The sequence below is a fragment of the Homo sapiens genome, chromosome 16 (assembly GCF_000001405.40).
Source record: "Homo sapiens chromosome 16, GRCh38.p14 Primary Assembly".
NCBI classification, from domain to species: domain Eukaryota; kingdom Metazoa; phylum Chordata; class Mammalia; order Primates; family Hominidae; genus Homo; species Homo sapiens.
In genome coordinates this window covers 31255277-31272842 of record NC_000016.10, presented here as the reverse complement: position 1 = coordinate 31272842, position 17566 = coordinate 31255277, and the positions used below count along the sequence as shown (strand labels likewise).

Genomic DNA, 17566 nt, shown 5'->3' with positions numbered 1-17566 from the left:
TATACTTTCGCATAATTTGGGTTTTTTAACTGAGTATTATTACTTTTGAATTTTAAAAATATATATATTTATGGCTGACACTTGTAATCCCAGCACTATGGGAAGCCAAGTCAGGTGAATCACCTGAGGTCAGGAGTTCAAGACCAGCCTGGTCAACATGGTGAAACCCTGTCTCTACTAAAAATACAAAAATTAGCTGATGGTGGTGATGGACGCATGTAATCCCAGCTACTCAGGAGGCTGAGGCAGGAGAATTGCTTGAACCCAGGAGGTGGAGGTTGCAGTGAGCCGAGATCAGGCCACTGCATTCCAGCCTGGGTGACAGAGTGAGACTCTGTCTCAAAAAAAAAAAAAAAAAAAAAAAAAAAAAAAAAAAAAATATATATATATATATATATATATATATATATATATATATAGTTAATTGGCCTTCAGGAAACCTCTCCCAGAGCACTGCACCAGCTCCCCAGCCCCTCTAGGACTCTCCAGTGCTTCTTGTACTTCTGTCCCAACCCCATCCTTGCCTCTACACCCACCTCAAAATCAGAGTGAACTTCCCAAAATGAGACATGGCGATATCTCACCACAGGCTGTAAAGCTGCCTTTGGCTCCCTGGCCTGAGCTGATCTTTGTAGCTTCCCTCCAGACACCTTTCCCTCACTTCCCCACTCCACTCCCACCTTTCACTCACAACTTGTCCTTTGATGAACACACCACGCACAGCCTCCCCACCTCTGCCGGTGGGGAAGCATCCTCTACCACCCCTGTCTGAACGGCTCCCTTCATCCATCAAAGCCCAGCTAAAAGTGTCTCCTCCTCCCTCCATCCTAAGGGAAAAGGGGAAGCTTACACCACTTTGCGGATGCCCGTGGCCGTGTGTGTCCGCCCAAGCAGCTGCGTTATTGGCTTCACCAGTGATCTTGGGTTAGGGTTGTTCTGGAACTCTTTGAAGGTAAAGTGAATCCGGAATTCTTCAGAGTACTGCATCAAAGAGAACTGCGGAGGGGGCGGCTGGTGTGATGCTGGAGAAGGTGCCCCCACCCCTCAGACATCTCCCAGCAAGCTCCACGAAGATCTTAAACACTCCACTCTCCAAATTCCTCCTCTGTGCTGCCCCTAATCCCCTGCCTCACCAGGACGGAGAGCTGCCAGCAGCTCCCATCTCTCCTCAATACTAGAACACGGCCAGCGGCCGGGAGCAGTGGCTCACACCTGTAATCCCAGCACTTTGGGAAGCCGAGGCGGGTGGATCACCTGAGGTCAGGAGTTTGAGACCAGCCTGGCCAAAATGGTGAAACCCCGTCTCTACTAAAAATACAAAAACTAGCCAGGCATGGTGGCATGCGCCTGTAATCCCCGCTACTCGGGAGGCTGAGGCAAGAGAATTGCTTGAACCCGGGAGGCGGAGGTTGCAGTGAGCCAAGATCACACCACTGCACTCCAGCCTGAGAGAAAGAGTGAGATTCTGTCTCAAAAAAATAAGAAATAAAAATGAAAATAGAACTCAGCCAGCAATGACACGTGGGCTTCATCTCCCATGCCAACCTTAACAATTAGAGCTGCCCGCTTTATAAAAGGCTGAAAGAATGCTGAGGCTGCATCCAACAGAGCAGAAAAGAGACTCAGGAAGGCAAACCATAATCGATCGTCAATTTGGCAATGTCTGCAGTTGAACTGGGAGGAGAACATGGTGGCCCGGTTGCCATGTATCTTCCAGCCCCGTGTGGGCTCTTCCCTAACCTACCCCTGGGCCCTCACCAAGGTTTTGGACTTTTTTAATTGCTCCATCACAGTTGAGACAAACTCCTTCATCCGCCGAAAGTCATGTGGGATGATGCTACCAGAGCCATCAATCAAGAAGGCAATGTCACTATCCTCTTGAGGACACCCTGGGGAAGGGGAAAAGAGTATGAATCAAGTAATTTGACACTTGGTGTTTTGGGTTTTTTTGCATGTCAGCCCTCTGCTGAACAATGAGAATATAGGACCCCGTCTCTATAAAAAATATAGATGTTAAATATATATATAAATTATGTATAATATATATATAATTTTTAACGTGTGTGTATATATATATATGTATACACACGTTAAAAACATATATATATATATATATATATATATATATATATATATATATATACACACACACACGTTAAAAATTAGTCAGGCATGTTGGCACATGCCTGTAGTCCCAGCTACTCAGGAGGCTGAGGGTGGGGGATCACTTCAGCCCAAAAGGTTGAGGCTTCAGTGAGCTATGATCACGCCATTGCACTCCAGCCTGGGCCACAGAGAAAGACCCTGTCTCTTAAAAATAAATAAATAAGTAAATAAACAAGGACAAAGTGGTATGGAAAATTTTCGTTAATTCTGCCCAAGGGAATCAGGGAATGTGGTGATGTTTGACTGAATCTTGAAGAACAGGAAATAATTTGCCCAGCTGGGCGAGGTGGCTCACACCTGTAATCCCAGCACTTTGGGAGGCTGAGGCAGGTGGATCACTTGAGATCAGGAGTTTGAGACCAGCCTGGCTGACATGGTGAAACCCTATCTCTATTAAAAATACAAAAAGTAGCTGAGATCGCACCACTGCACTCCAGCCTGGGTCACAGAGCAAGACTTCGAAGAAAAGGAAGAAAGGAAGAAAAAAAGGAAAGGAAAGGAAAGGAAAGGAAAGGAAAGGAAAGGAAAGGAAAGGAAAGCAAAGGAGGAAGGAAGGAAGGAAGGAAGGAAGGATTTGCCAGATATACAAAAGGAGTAGATTCTAGAAAAGGGAAGGGCACACACATATAAAGTGATGTGGAATGTGCTCCTCTGCCTTCTGCCCCATCCCCAAATCCACTTTCTACCCATTGCCGCTCAGCTCTGTGGCCTGGGAGGTCAACCTGCAGGGACCCCATCACCAGGACTCTGTTGCCCTCTGGATTCCCATTGGATTTGGCAGATGAGGGGGCTCAACAGAAGACTAGAGGGAGGAGGGCAGTGAGGTCCGGGTGTTCTCCCATTGAGGTTGTTTGGGGACAGCTATGTCCTTCACAAAAGACCAACTGTTCCTCAGAAGGAAGCCAGCTCCACATGACTCTCTCCAGACCCTGGTGAGCTCTCCCTCTCCTCAACCCATAAACCCAGGGGTGGCAACAGACCTGCTTGCCCAGGGCTTGGAAAGTCCCTGATGGCTCCCTTAGGCCTGTCACAGCTTTATAATTACTCCCTTTATAAATAAACCCCCCTCTTTGTAAATAAATCTTACTGAAACCGCCTTTGCAAAATTATGACTGAGACAGTGAAAGAGATCTAACTTAACTGATTCCATCTTGCTTCTAACCTCCAAGCTGTCCGTGTTCATTCCTGGGTGTAGGCTGAGCTAACTTTGGGAGACACTTAGTTTATAGTTTATAGTTTATAGTTTAAACAAAGATCGTAACAGCCCTTTCCCAAAGCAGACCTCCTTCTTACCTGGGGACTAGATTGCCTTTGTAGGACTAACGTTAGCCACAAGATGAGAAATTATGATTTAGGAGTCATGCAGCTGGAGGCTACAAGATTCTGACCCTCCCTAAACTGCTCCTAAAATCAGTGCTTGAGATATTTTGCAGACCTTGCACTTGATGGATCAGCTGGCACTGCCCAGATCAATAAACTGGTTCATCCGATCTTGCTGCCCCCACCCAGGAACCAACTGAACGCAAGAAGACAGCTCCGACTCCCGATGATTTCATCCCTGATCAATCAGCACTCCCAGCTCACTGGCTTCCCCCGCGACCTACCAAGTTATCCTCAAAAACTCTGCCCCCAAATGCTCGAGGAGACTGATTCGAGTGATAATAAAACTCTGGTCCCCTGCATAGCTGGCTCTGTGTGAATTATTCTTTCTCTATCGCAATTCTGCTGTCTTGATGAATCGGCTCTGTCTAGGCAGCAAGCAAGGTGAACCCCTTGGGCAGTTACATTACTGGAATGTGCTTTTGGTCCCAGTTGAGACTCCTACTGATATATGGGACAAGGGCCTCAAAAGGATTCTGGCAGAATCCAGGAATGCCGTTTGATGGAAACAGCACTACAGGGACAAACGTATGTGACGGCGATGGAGACACAGCGGTGGCATCAAGCAAAGAGCAGCGGGCAAGGGCCTTTCTACTCCAATAAGGAGCTCGACTTTATCTGTAGGCAATGGGGAGCCACAGAAGGTTCTTAGAAAAGGAAGTGAGATGATTTGTTTTGTATTTTAGAAAGACTGGCAGGGCACAGTGGCTCATGCCTGTAACCCCAGCACTTTGGGAGGCCTCCTGAATAGCTAAGACCACAGGCACACGCCACCATGCCTGGCTAATTGCATTTTTTGTAGAGATGGGGTCTCATTATGTTGTCTAGGCTGGTCCCAAACTCCTGGCCTCAAACAATCCTCCTGCCTTGACCTCCCAAAGTGCTGGAATTACAGGTGTGAGCTACCGCACCCTTTCGAATTTTGAACCAAGTGTATGTATTATATATTTTTTAATAAATGAAAACTTTTTTAAAGAAGTAGTCTTGAACCCTGAGAGTGAGGTCTAAAGAGGGAGAGGTAGAAGTGTTAGCTGAAGCCACAGAACTGGGTGATTTCAGGAAAGAAGAACACGTGGGTGAAAAGAGAACCCAGAACCCAGTGCCCCTAGGTGGAGAGGGAAGCTGGAGGCCAGCCGGGGGTGAAGAGAATGCACTCAGGAAGCTTGGGTGGTGAGGGTGAGGAGAGATGGCAGGAGATGAGGAGGAGACTGGAAGAGAGAAGATTGTTTTCATGGCTATCGATTGTGGTGGTTGATTGCTTTTCAGATACAGATAGAATGAAGAGTGTTTACAGCCAGAGGAAGGGGGAAGTTAATTGTCCTAGAGAGAAAACAAGTGATTCAAGAGATGCTGGGCCAGGCGCAGTGGCTCACACCTGTGATCCCAGCACTGTGGGAGGCTGAGGTGGGAAGATCTCTTGAGCCCAGGAATTCGAGACCAGCCTGGGCAACAAGGTGAAACCCCATCTCTACAAAAAATACAAAAATCAGTATATGCGCACCTGTGATCCCAGCTACTCTGGAGGCGGAGGCACAAGAATTTCTTGAGCACAGGAGGCAGAGGCTGCAGTGAGCCGAGATTGTGCCACTGCACTCCAGCTTAGGTGACAGAGCAAGACCCTGTCTCCAAAAAAAAAAGAAAAAAGAAAGATAGGTGATCACCTTAGTTGGTGCATGAGAGACTCTCAAAAGCCCATATGGAAGAATTTAGTCATGGGACAGAGGAGAGACAGGTCTTCCTCTAAAACGAGTGAGTCACTGCCAGGAGTGCTGTCATTATGGAAATTTGAGAAAAAGGAGAAAGTGCGGTGTTACAGCTCCTTTAGAATTTGTCAACAAATTCCAGTGAAGACTGGAAAACCGCTTATTAAGATAAAATAAGAGAAGGGGAAAGTGGAGGGAGTCCATGCCTGAAGCTTTTGTTTTCTCTGTGGAGGAAGGAGGATTAACTGTGGAGGGTGAAATATAGAGGAACAGGGCTTGAGAAAGAAAAAAAATGCAAGGGAGAAACATTCGCCTGTGGTCCCAGAATCAACATGAAGACAAGCAAAAAGATGGCATAGCCATCGAACAAAGCAGTGGGAAAAAGCAGCTTGAAAGATCCACGCACTCTGGCCAGGCATGGTGGCTCATGCCCCCCACTCATTCCCTGGCTCATTCCCAGCACTTTGGGAAGCCAAGGTGGGCAGATCACCAGAGCTCAGGAGTTCGAGACCAGCCTGGCCAACATGGTGAAACCCCGTCTCTGCTAAAAATACAAAAATTAGCCGGGTGTGGTGGCGGGCACCTGTAATCCCAGCTACTTGGGAAGATGGGGCAGGAGAATCGCTTGAACCTGGGAGGCAGAGGTTGCAGTAAGCCAAGATCGTGCCACTGCACTCCAGCCTGGGTGACAGAGCGAGACTCTGCCTCAAAAAAAAAAAAAAAAAAAAAAATCCATACAGTCACTCAGAATCTCAATCAACAGAGGTTTGGGGAACAGGGGTGTGGAAGGCCGCCCCCCAGGATGGTCCCCAAGATTCCCACCTCTTGCCAATGACACCTTGCACCATCCCCTCCTCTGCAGTGTGACCTGGACTTATTTTTTAAAGACAGGGTCTTGCTCTGTCACCCAGGTTGGAGTACAGTGGTGCAATCATAACTTGCTGCAGCTTCAACTTCCCAGGCTCAAGTGATCCTCCTGAGTAGCTGGGACTGCAGGTGTGTGCCACCACGCCTGGCTAATTTTTTTTTTTTTTTGTAGAGACGGGGATCTCCCTATGTTGCCCAGGCTTGCCTTGAACTTGTGGCCTCAAGCAATCTTCCCACCTTGGCCTCCAAATAGCTAAGACTACAGGTGCTCATCACCACACTCAGCTAATTTTTTTTTTTTTTTTTTTTAGAGACAGGATCTCACTACATTGCCCAGGCTGATCTCAAGCTCCTGGGCTCCCAAAGCTTTGGGATTGCAGGTATGAGCCACTGTGCCTAGCCAAGGCGTTTTCCTAAAGTACAAGACCCTAGCACCTCCCTAGCTTCTGACTCTAATGGGACCCAGTTCCCCCACTCTTCTGCACCCAGAGCCCAGACCTTGAGCAGACGTCACCTCAGTCCTGCCCCCTCCCCTGGTCTTTTGCTGCGCATCTGTTCCCTCTGCCAAAGGCAACCCACCTCGGAGGGCCTCTGGGAACTTCTGGGGCTGCTGCCGTAGGTTGGATCCAAACAGGAAGCAGAGCCCTTTCACATACGTGTTCTCACTGCAAGTCTGGTGCACGGTGGGACCACAGGCCTAGGGGACAGGAGCCAGTGGAAGGGGCTGCCCCTGCTTCCTGTCCTTGTACCCCAGCACCTCCACCCTCCACAAGACCCCCAGCCCCACCATGCGTGGGCCCCCAAACACCCCCATTAGGATGCTCCTCTGATCGAGCCCCACTCACCAGCAGCTGAGGGGGGCTGGTGGTGGCTGCCAGGGACAGGCCCAGGGACATGTTCACGGCCTCCACGGGGACTGCGGGGACAGATATGGGCATGGTCACCCTGGTGGGGGGACAGAGAAGGCTGTGGAAGAGCTGGGCAGGGGTCACCTCCATGCGGGAGACAAGGAGGTCTGACGGTGAAGGGGGATCCTAAATCTTGGGAAAGAAAGGAACACAGAGGGGTTGCCTGGGGATGTCTAGGGTAGAGACTGCAGGCAGAGGAGAGGGTACGGAGGCAGGCACCTGTGTCCCCACCACAGATCCCCAGGACACAGGAGTGCCTGGAAAGTCCCTATGTGTTCACAGGGGAATCCCAGTCCCAGCCCGGCGGGGCAGTGACTCACCCTGCAGGCGGATGGGCTCGCATGAGCCTGTGCTGTAGTCGCACTGGTAGAGGCTGCCCCTTTGGTTGGCAGCCACTATCTCCTGGGGGGCTCCAACCACCACCCTGTGGGGAGAAGTGGGAACAGAGAAAACTTCGACATGTGGGGAGAGAAGGAGACCACAGAGGAAGTTCTGCCACCCAGAGGACGGTGGGGGCCCATACCCGGATTCCTAAATTCCTATGACTAGGAGGAAGAATTAGCAAAGAAAAAAATGGGAAAATGTTAAGACTCAGAATGAGAAAAGGTCTTCCTAAGAATGACACAAAAACCAGAAGTCATTTAAAAATAGGACCAGGCGCGGTGGCTCATGCTTGTAATCCTAGCACTTTGGGAGGCCAAGGGGGTGGATTGCCTGAGCTCAGGAGTTCAAGATCAGCCTGGGCAACATGGTGAAACCCCGCCTCTACTAAAAATACAAAAAATTAGCCACACGTGGTGGTGCGTACCTGTAATCCCAGCTAAATGGGAGGCTGAGGCAAGAGAATTGCTTGAACCCAGGAGGCAGAGGTTGCAGTGAGCCGAGATAGCACCACTGCACTCCAGCCTGAGAGACAGGGCAAGACTCTGTCCCAAAAAATAAATGAATAAATTTTAAAAATAAAAATAGGTCAATTCAAGCTGGGCACCATGGCTCATGCCTTTAATCCCAGCACCTTGGGAGGTTGAGGCAGGAGCATCATTTGAGGCCAGGAGTTTGAAACTAGCCCGGGTAACATAGCCAGACCCCATCTCTACAAAAAATGTTTTTAAAAATTAGCCAGGTATGGTGGTACACACCTGTAGTCCCAGGCCAACCATTTTTTTTTTTTCTTTGAGACAGGGTCTCACCCTGTTGCCCAAGATGGAGTCCAGTGGCATAATCATAGCTCACTGCAACCTCTGCCTCCTGGGCTCAAACAATCCTTCCACCTCAGTCTCCCAAAGTGTTAGAATTACAGGCATGAGCCACTGGACCCGGCCCACACAGTCATTTTATTTATTTTTATTTTTATTTATTTTCTTTCTTTGAAACAGATTCTCACTCCATCACCCAGGCTGGAGTATAGTGGTGCAATCTCGGCTCACTGCTGCAACCTCTGCCTCCCAGGTTCAAGCATTCCTCCTGTCTCAACCTCCTGAGTAGCTGGGATTACAGGTGTGTGCCACCATGCTTGGCTAATTTGTGTATTTTTAGTAGAGATGAGGTTTCCTTATGTTGGCCAGGGTAGTCTCGAACTCCTGGCTTCCAGCGACCAGCCCAGCTCGGCCTCCCAAAATGCTGGGATTACAGGCGTGAGCCCCTGCACCCAGCCTCCACACAGTCATTTTCAATAAATTTCTGGGCCAGGCGCAGTGGCTCACACCTGTAATCCCTGCACTTTGGGAGGCCGAGGCAAGTGGATCACGAGGTCAGGAAATCGAGAACATCCTGGCTAACATGGTGAAACCCCATCTCTACTAAAAATACAAAAAAATTAGCCAGGCGTGGTGGCACGCACCTGTAGTCCCAGCTACTCGGGAGGCTGAGGCAGGAGAATCGCTTGAACCCAGGAGGCAGAGGTTGCAGTGAGCCGAGATCACTCCACTGCACTCCAGCCTGGACGACAAAGCGAGACTCCATCTCAATAAATAAATAAATAAATAAATAAATAAATAAATAAATAAATAAATAAATTTTTGTATGTGATAAACTACCATAAGCATACTCAAAAGAAAAATAATACACAAGGGAGAGAGCTTCACAACTCATACCCCAGACTACTTTCCTCAGTGTACTCAAAGCTTGTACAAACTAGTAAAAAAAAAAAAAAAGAAAGAAAAATGGCCAACAGATAAGAAAAACATGTTCACAGAAAATGCCTCTCTCATAAAAAAAAAAGAAGCAATTTAAAGCTAAATTAAGATACCACTTCTCACCTACTCGATCTGCAGAGATCAGTAAGTTTGATAGCACACTGAGTTGGCAAATGAGTGAGGGAGTATGAGGAAGTAGGTATTTTCATGAATTTCTGGTGTGAGTGTAAATTGCTGCCACCACTGTAGAGGGGGATCTGGAAAAATCTATTAAAATTGCACGTGCTCATGCACCCGTGGATACCACAATCCCAGTCCTAGCCTTTACTTCCAAATAGGCTTGCACATGTGCAAAATGACAGCATTGTTCATAGAGCAAAAGTTTGGGAACAATCTAAATGTTCATTAACAAGAGATCTAATGTAATGTAAAAGGAGATTACAAGCCAGGCACGGTGGCTCAAGCCTGTAATCCCAGCACTTTGGGAGGCCGAGGCAGGTGGATCACCTGAGCTCAGGAGTTCAAGACCAACCTGGCCAACATGGTGAAACCCTGTCTCTACAAAAATACAAAAATTAGCCAGGCGTGGTGGCAGGCACCTGCAATCCAAGCTACTCAGGAGGCTGAGGCAGGAGAATCGATTGAACCCAGGAGGCAGAAGTCGCAGTGAGCCAAGATCATGCCACTGCACTCCAGCCTGGGCGACAGAGGGAGTCTCTAAAAAAATAAAATAAAATAAATTATAGCATCTCCCAATTATGGCATGCAATGCAAGCATAACATGGGATTAATGGACTCAAATCACTGGGCTGTATTATGGGAGATAAAGCAAAGAGCAGAGACCAGCCCCCTTCTTCTGGAAAGGTACTATCACCTCCACAATTACTGTTTCTGTAAAGGTAAATGTTTTAGGCTTCAGGGTCCATACAATCTCTATCACAGCTCCTGAATTCTGCCATTACAGCTCAAAAGTGGCCATAGCCAGGCACAGTGGTTTACACCTATCATCCCAGCAAGTTGGGAGGCCCAAGCAAGAGGATGACTTGAGGCCAGGAGTTTGAGACCAGATTGGGCAACAGAGTGAGACCTCGTCTATACAAAAAAAATCAAAAAATTAGCCAGGTGTGGTGGCACATGCCTGTAGTCCCAGCTACTCAGGAGGCTAAGGTGGGAGGATTGCTTGAGCCCAGGAGTTTGAGTCTACAGTGAGCTATGATTTCACCTGTGCACTCCAGGCTGAATGACAGAACAAGACCATGTCAGAAAGGAAAGAAAGAAATGAAGGAAGGAAGGAAGGAAGGAAGGAAGGAAGGAAGGAAGGAAGGAAGGAAGGAAGGAAGGAAGGATGGAAGGGAGGGAAGGGAGGGAAGGAGGGAAAGAGGGAAGCAGGGAATGAGAGAGGGAGGAAGGAAGGAAGGAAAGAAGGAAGGAAGGAAGGAAGGGAGGAAGGGAGGGAAGGGCAATAAACAGTAAGAGACAAGTGGACGGAGTTGTTTTCAATAAAATTCATTCACAAAAATAGGCGGCAGCCTGCAGGCAGGCCTTAATTTCAGTACAATGTATACTACACATGGTGTGTTGGCTGAGGGAGGGAACGTGTATGTGTTATGCACACACAGAGTCTCCCCGAAGGAACACCCAGGAAACCATTTGTGAGGTCCCTCCTGGGAAGGGAACTAGGGGAAGGGAGTAAGGAAGAGATTTTTACTCTTACACCCTTTTGCATCTTTTGAATTTAGAATACTGTAAATTCAAAAGATGAATTTGTTGTATATTTTGAATTGATTTATCTGTTGAAAAAGATCACTCAAATCGCTGATTTTTTTCAGGTATGTAAGTCTTGGAGAGAAAGCACTGAGAAAGGGGGCTCCATCTAAGGGTCTCACCTGGATCCCTGAAGCTGGACCACGCTCTGCCCGAAGCCCCTTGCGTTCTCTTGGAAGGTCATTGCGTTTTCAGTGTCCAAGTTGAACCCATGACATAAGGTCAAGGCTAAAGGGAGAATGGGGGAAGGATCAAGCAGAGGAAAGTAGCATGCCAGTTAGGGGCTGTAGTCCTAGCACTTTGGAGGGCTGAGGCAGGAGGATCACTTGAGCCCTGATTGTGCCACTGCACTCCAGCCTGAGCAACAGAGAGAGATCCTATCTCAAAATTAAATACAAAAAAAAAACAAAAACTAATAATAATTTAAAAGAAAGCAATGGCTGGGTGTGGTGGCTCAGGCCTGTTATCCCAATAATTTAAGAGGCTGACGTGGGAGGATCACCTGGGCTCAGGAGTTTAAGACCAGCCTAGGCAACACAGTGAGACCCCATCTCTACAAAAAATAAAAAATTAGCCGGGTGTAGTGGTACTCAGGAGGCTGAGGTGGGAGGATTGCTTGAACCCAGGAGGTCAAGGCTGCAGTGAACCATGATCATGCCACTGCACTACAGCCTGGGCAACAGAGAAAGACCCTGTATCAAAAAAAAAAAAAAAAAAAAAAGATAGCAGCATGTCTTCCTGCTCCATTCCCTTTCCCATCCATTCGGTCACCCTAACTAACCCAGCATCCAGATGTCTGCCTCCCAGGTCCAGCTCTGTTAGCCTGGGGCGGGGATTAGCACACTTATTCTGTAAACAGCCAGATAGTAAATTTTAGGTTTTGCAGACCAAGAGGCTGATAGAATATGTTGTACAAGTACTTATATAACAAGACAGAAAATACTTTTCCACAAATTTGTCATTAGGGAAATTTCAAACATAATGATTGAGTACAATTTGTTTGTAATACGGGTTTACAAATGAGACAAATAGAATTCTTTGGGGGTGGTGCTCCCTATCATCAAATCGATTATCAGTGTTCATCTTCAATCTCTAGCTGGCAGGTTGTGCAAAAACAGGTCGTGGGCCATATCGGGCCCCCAGGCCACTGTTTGCTGACTCCTGACCTAAGAACCACCGTCGTGGGGCACGTCCAGTCCTGCTCTGAATTCCAGCCTCCCTTCTGAGCACCTAAATGGCTTCTTCCCCCGGTGTCACAACGATGATTTGCCCAACAGTGAAGTTTCTATACATTCTTAATTAGATAATTTCCTTCCTATGCAGCTCTCAAGTATTTCCTTCCCTTTTGAGGAGAATTTCATTTTCCACAACATATAAGCATAAAAGGTAACAAACTCAAATCATTTTCATTCATCAGTCATTCAACAAACATTTGCACCCGGGACCTTGGAAAATAGAACCGGAGGCAAAGTGGAGATGGTGAGAGGGGATCCAGGAGGAAGCACTCAGGAAAGGGGTCTCACACCTGCTGCGCACCCTGAGCCATGTCACTTCTCCTCCCTGGGCCTCCGTCTCCTCATGTGTGAAGCAAGGGGACCGGCAAGCAGCCTTGCACAGTCCATGAATGTGGTCATTCATCCAGGCTTCCCTGGCCAGCCTGTCTGGGTCTAGCTGTTCTCCCTGCTTCTTCTTGAACCCTTTCTCCTTCCCCAAATCCCCTTTGCCTCTCCCCAGACTGACTCCTACATATTCTGGGCCCTCTATTTATGACAGACCCAAAAGTTACCCTCCTCCCCACCCAGAGTCCCCCACCCCACCCCCATGCACCTGTTAACAGAAGGACTCTGAGAGCCATGGCTGGAAGGAGCCAGAACCTGGAAGGAGGTGAACCAGGGGTTGCAGGCACCACTGAGGAACCACAAGGAAGCCACCAAAGCAAAGAAGGGCAGAAAAGGAGAAGTAGGAGGCAGAAGTCTATCAGAGATTCAAAGGAAGAGGGCGGAGGCTCAGTGAGCACATAGCCCTGCCTGGTCTTCCGCCCAGGACTGCCCACAGCCTGCCCACCCTTCCTCCCCAGCTTCCTGACCCAAACTTTCAAAGTCAATACCACTATCCAAAAGGTGCCATTTGTCACCCACTTGTTTCTTGGGTTGGCCCAAGCATATGAACAAGCTGAACAGACTTAGCCTGCCTCCTGGAATTCGTGTTCTAAACATTAATACGGGCCAGGCGCAGTGGCTCACGCCTGTAATGCCAGCACTTTGGGAGGCCAAGGCAGGAGGATTGCTTGAGCCTGGGAGTTTGAAACCAGCCTGGGCAACATAGAGAGACCCTGTCTCTACAAAAAAATATTTTTAATTAGCTGGGCATGGTGGTGCGCGCCTGTAGCCCCTGCTACTGGACAGGCTGAGGTGTGAGAATTACTTGAGCCCGAGGTCCAGGCTGCAGTGAGCTAGGATCACACCACTGCACTCCAGCCTGGGCAACATAGGGAGACCCCGACTCTACAAAAAAATACATTTAAAAAATTAGCCAGGCATGGTGGCACATGCCTGTAGTCCTAGCTACTCCAGAGGCTGAGGCAGGAGGATTGTTTGAGCTCAGGAGTCTGAGACTGCAATGAGCCTCAATAATGCCACTGCACTCCAGCCCAGGTGACAGAGTGAGACTCTGTCTCAAAAAAAAAATTAAATAAATAAATAAGCAAACATTAATACAGATCAAACAAGTGTAGGAGGTAAAACTCTGTGTCTTCCTGAAAACACACTTTGCAAAATGTCCCTCCTTCAGCCCATGGAAATGGAAGCGCCCTTCAGCCAGAGCTGTCCTCATTTGTAGCCATCAACAAAGACAACTCAAGTACAGGCATACCTGGTGCTTTTTAAATATTATTTTGTGCTTTTTTTAGAGACAGAGTCTAGCTCTGTTGCCCAGGCTGGAGTGCAGTGGTGTAATCACAGCTCACTGCAGCTTCAATCAACCTCCTGGGCTCAAGCGATCCTCCTACCTCAGCCTTCCGAGTAGCTGGTACTACAGGCACATGCTGCCATGGCCAGCTAATTTTTTTTAAATTTTTTGTAGAGACAAGATCTTGCTATGTTGTTCAGGCTATTCTCAACCTCCTGGACTCAAGTGATCCTCCTTCCTCAGCCTCCCAAACTGCTGAGATTACAGGTGTGAGCCACTGCATCCAGCCTATTTTTGTGTGTGTGTGTGTGTGTGTGTGTAAAGGCCTCAAGCTCTTCACCCAAGAATTTTCACTTCTAGTAATTTATCCTAAGAATAGTTAAGAAGTGTAGTCAAAAATATATGTACAAACTTGGCTGGGTGCGGTGGCTCATGCCTGTAATCCTAGCATTTTGGGAGGCTGAGGCGGGGTGGCTCACTTGAGGTCAGCAATTGAAACCAGCCTGCCCAACATGGTGAAACCTCATCTTTACTAAAAAGACAAAAAAATTAGCCAGGCGTGGTGGCAGGCACCTGTAATCCCACCTGGGAGGCTGAGGCAGCAGAATCACTTGAACCCTGGAGGCGGAGGTTGCAGTGAGCAGAGATTGTGCCACTGCACTCCAGCCTAGGCGACAGAGCAAGACTCTTATCTCTAAAAAAAAAAAAATATATATATATATATATATTTGCAAGCTTGTTCATTGCAGCATTATTGTTAATATGAAAAGCTAAAAAAACCTGAATATTCAACAGAGGAATGGTTCAATGATACTTCACTCTGTGATATATCCTTACCCTCCCCTGTGTCTGTCACTTTTAATTCTGTTTTCAAAGGCACAGGAAAATAGGTATCCTTCCACACATACATGGAACACAAACCTCACCTTTATGTGACCGCCAATGTGATTCTCAAGCCAATGATTTTTTTCACTCTTTCTCAACACATTTTCTTTTTTTTTTTTTTTTTTTTTTTGTGAAACGGAGTCTCCCTCTGTCGCCCAGGCTGGAGTGCAGTGGCGTGATCTCAGCTCACTGCAACCTCTGCCTCCCGAGTTCAAGTGATTCTCCTGCCTCAGCCTCCCGAGTAGCTGAGAATACAGGTGCTTGCCACCACGCCTGGCTAATTTTTTGTATTTTCAGTAGAGACAGGGTTTCACCATTCAACACATTTTCTTTTGCCTCTAGTTCTACTTTCCCGATAACTAGATGGAAAAAAATGCTTGCTGGCTGAAAAAAAAAAAAGCAATTAAAATTATGTACATTTGGTTAAAAATTATCTGTTTATAATTTTTATATATAGCCAGGTGTGGTGACTCCTGCTTGTAATCTCAGCACATTGGGAGGCCAAGGCAGAGGGATCATTTGAGCTCAGGAACTCAAGACCAGCCTGGGCAACACAGCAAGACCCTGACTCTACAAAAAAATGTTTAAAAATTAGCTGGGCATAGTGATGCACACCTGTGGTCCCAGCTACTCAACAGGCTGAGGTGGGAGGATCGCTTGAGCCAAGGAGGTTGAGGCTGCAGTGAGATATGATTGCACCACTGCACTCCAGCCTGGAAAACAGAGCCAGACCCTGTCTCTAAAATATATATAGGCAGGGCATGTAATATATACAGGCACGCCTGTAATCCCAGCACTTCGGGAGGCTGAGGTGGGAGGATCACCTGAGATTAGGAGTTCAAGACCAGCCTGGCCAACATGGTGAAACCCCATCTCTACTAAAAATACAACAATTAGCCAGGCGTGGTGGCAGGCACCTGTAATCCTAGTTACTTGGGAGGCTGAGGCAGGAGAATCACTTGAACCTGGGAGGTGGAGGTTGCAGTGAGCTGAGATTGCACCATTGCACTCCAGCCTGGGCAATAGAGCTTGACTCAGTTTCAAAAAATAAAAAATTAAAATTAAATAAATAAGTACATACATACAAAAATAAATCATATATATATATATATATATATATATATATATATATATATATATATGCAGGAAAACCAAATGTTAATAGTCGTTATCTCCAAGATAGGAGGATTACAGGTATGTTCCAGTATCTATTGCTGCAGAGCGAGCTACTCCAAAACTTCATAGTTAAAAACAGCAGCATATTATAATCTCTCGCGTATCTGTGAATCTCCTGGCCTCAGCAGTTCTCAGCGGGGTCTCTCACATGATTGCAGTCGGATCACAACCAGGGCTAGAGTAATCCAAAGCTCAGTTGGGCTGGGCTCCCAAAATGGGTCACTCCCACAGCTGGCAGTTGGCCGTGGGCTAGGAGCTCAGTTGGGGCTGTCACCTGGGCACCCCCACGTGCCCTCTCCATGTGGCTTGGGCTTCTCGCAGCATGGTGGCTGGACTTCAAGAGCAAGTGTTCCAACAGACAGGAAGCAGAAATTTCCAGGCTACTAAGGTCTTGATCTGGAAACTGGCGCCAAGTCATCTGCACCACATTCCATTGATCAGGCAGTCACAGAGCTCATCCACATTCAAGCAAAGGGGACACAGATCCCACCTCCCAATGGGAGGAATTTGTGGTTGTATTCAATCTGCTACAAGATGACTTTAATATTCTTTTCTATATCATTTGTACTTAAAATATTTATATAGGCTGGGTGCAGTGGCTCATGCCTGTGATCCCAATGCTGTGGGAGGCCAAGGCAAGAGGATCACTTGAGCCCAGGAGTTTGAGGCTACAGTGAGCTATGACCTCAACACTGCACTCCAGCCTGGGCAACAGAGCAAGACCATGTCTCAAAGAGAAAAAAAAAAAAGACCTTTATACAAAAAAAAGACTCATAATCATAAAAAATACCAATAGATAATTTAAAACAACAGGTTACCTGTATTTGTTAGCAGGTAAAGAAGCTGAGGAAAGGACGAACGAAGTCATGAGCCCAAGATGAGAAGATACCAACCAGGGTGCCCGGGGAGGAGTTTAGTAGATCAGCTGGGTTTGCTTTGGGAAAAGTTTTCACACTCTGGCCACTATGGGGGCTGCTCGAACTCAGACGTGGAGGCCCCTCCTTGCCCTGAACAGTGGCCAAGGGTCCACTCTCTGTAAAAACATAGGCAAGATCTCAGACTGGCTGTCCAACCTGCAGAGGCTTTCTCAATGAGCCACCACCAAGTGTGCACCTGACCTGGTGACCGTGGGTGGGGACATATCTATAAGCTGTTGGCTGTTCCCTCCTACCTGTCCCCCATCCCCACTCTTGATAAAATCTTAGCTTGATTTCCCCTATAAGTGGACTCTGAGACAAGGCTTCAAGTGTAAGTAATTTATCTGGAAGGTGATTCCGGAAACACTGGTGGGAAAGTGAGGAAAAGAAGGAGCTAATGCCAGGCACAATGGCTCACTGCCTGTAATACCAGCACTTTGGGAGTCCAGAGTGGGAGGATCGCTTGAGCCCAGGAGTTCAAGACCAACCTGGGCAACATAGGAAGATTCTGTCTCTTAAAAAAAATTTTTTTTTAATTATCTAGTGTGGTGGTATGCACATGTAGTCCCAGCTACTCAGGAAGCTGAGGCAGGAGGATCACTTGCACCCAAGGGGTCGAGGTTGCAGTGAGCTATGATCATGCCACCATACACTGTACTCTAGCCTGGGCAACATAATAAGACCCCGTCTCTTAAATTTTTTTAATTAAATAAATAATTAATTAATTAAACATTAATATGTATCAAACAGGTGTGGGA

At 47.4% G+C, this 17566-nt stretch overlaps 1 protein-coding gene across 8 annotated transcripts in view, besides 5 other annotated features; it reads right to left on the bottom strand.

Moving 5' to 3' along the window:
• Nucleotides 1-12868, bottom strand: part of ITGAM (integrin subunit alpha M) — a 72903-nt gene extending 60035 nt beyond the window's left edge. For 7 of the 8 annotated variants that reach the window (XR_950796.1, XR_007064878.1, NM_001145808.2 and 4 more), the window contains exons 1-7: nucleotides 12751-12868; nucleotides 11046-11151; nucleotides 7345-7448; nucleotides 6962-7032; nucleotides 6696-6813; nucleotides 1759-1889; nucleotides 851-996 (exon numbers count right to left, since the gene is read on the bottom strand). Coding sequence is in view for 6 of the 8 variants with exons in the window: in NM_001145808.2 (NP_001139280.1) it covers nucleotides 851-996; nucleotides 1759-1889; nucleotides 6696-6813; nucleotides 6962-7032; nucleotides 7345-7448; nucleotides 11046-11151; nucleotides 12751-12778 (704 nt within the window). In the remaining 2 variants the exon portion in view is untranslated. Of the gene's footprint in view, nucleotides 1-850; nucleotides 997-1758; nucleotides 1890-6695; nucleotides 6814-6961; nucleotides 7062-7344; nucleotides 7449-11045; nucleotides 11152-12750 lie in introns of those variants that run through there. The other variant, XM_011545850.3, reaches the window with a different exon arrangement.
• Nucleotides 510-1035: an enhancer, noted in NCBI's record as "H3K27ac-H3K4me1 hESC enhancer chr16:31283129-31283654 (GRCh37/hg19 assembly coordinates)". NCBI's record gives its function as "activates a minimal SCP1, AML or CMV promoter by ChIP-STARR-seq in primed H9 embryonic stem cells {active_cell/tissue: H9 hESC(primed)}" and the evidence as "EXISTENCE:reporter gene assay evidence [ECO:0000049][PMID:30033119]".
• Nucleotides 1036-1561: an enhancer, noted in NCBI's record as "H3K27ac-H3K4me1 hESC enhancer chr16:31282603-31283128 (GRCh37/hg19 assembly coordinates)". NCBI's record gives its function as "activates a minimal SCP1, AML or CMV promoter by ChIP-STARR-seq in primed H9 embryonic stem cells {active_cell/tissue: H9 hESC(primed)}" and the evidence as "EXISTENCE:reporter gene assay evidence [ECO:0000049][PMID:30033119]".
• Nucleotides 6590-7789: an enhancer, noted in NCBI's record as "P300/CBP strongly-dependent group 1 enhancer chr16:31276375-31277574 (GRCh37/hg19 assembly coordinates)". NCBI's record gives its function as "activates an origin of replication core promoter dependent on BRD2, BRD4, P300/CBP, MED14 and CDK7 cofactors, with strong dependence on P300/CBP, by STARR-seq in HCT116 cells {active_cell/tissue: HCT116}" and the evidence as "EXISTENCE:reporter gene assay evidence [ECO:0000049][PMID:35650434]".
• Nucleotides 6996-7475: an enhancer, noted in NCBI's record as "active region_10760". NCBI's record gives its function as "activates an Ori minimal core promoter by ATAC-STARR-seq in GM12878 lymphoblastoid cells {active_cell/tissue: GM12878}" and the evidence as "EXISTENCE:reporter gene assay evidence [ECO:0000049][PMID:35858748]".
• Nucleotides 13012-13111: an enhancer, noted in NCBI's record as "active region_10759". NCBI's record gives its function as "activates an Ori minimal core promoter by ATAC-STARR-seq in GM12878 lymphoblastoid cells {active_cell/tissue: GM12878}" and the evidence as "EXISTENCE:reporter gene assay evidence [ECO:0000049][PMID:35858748]".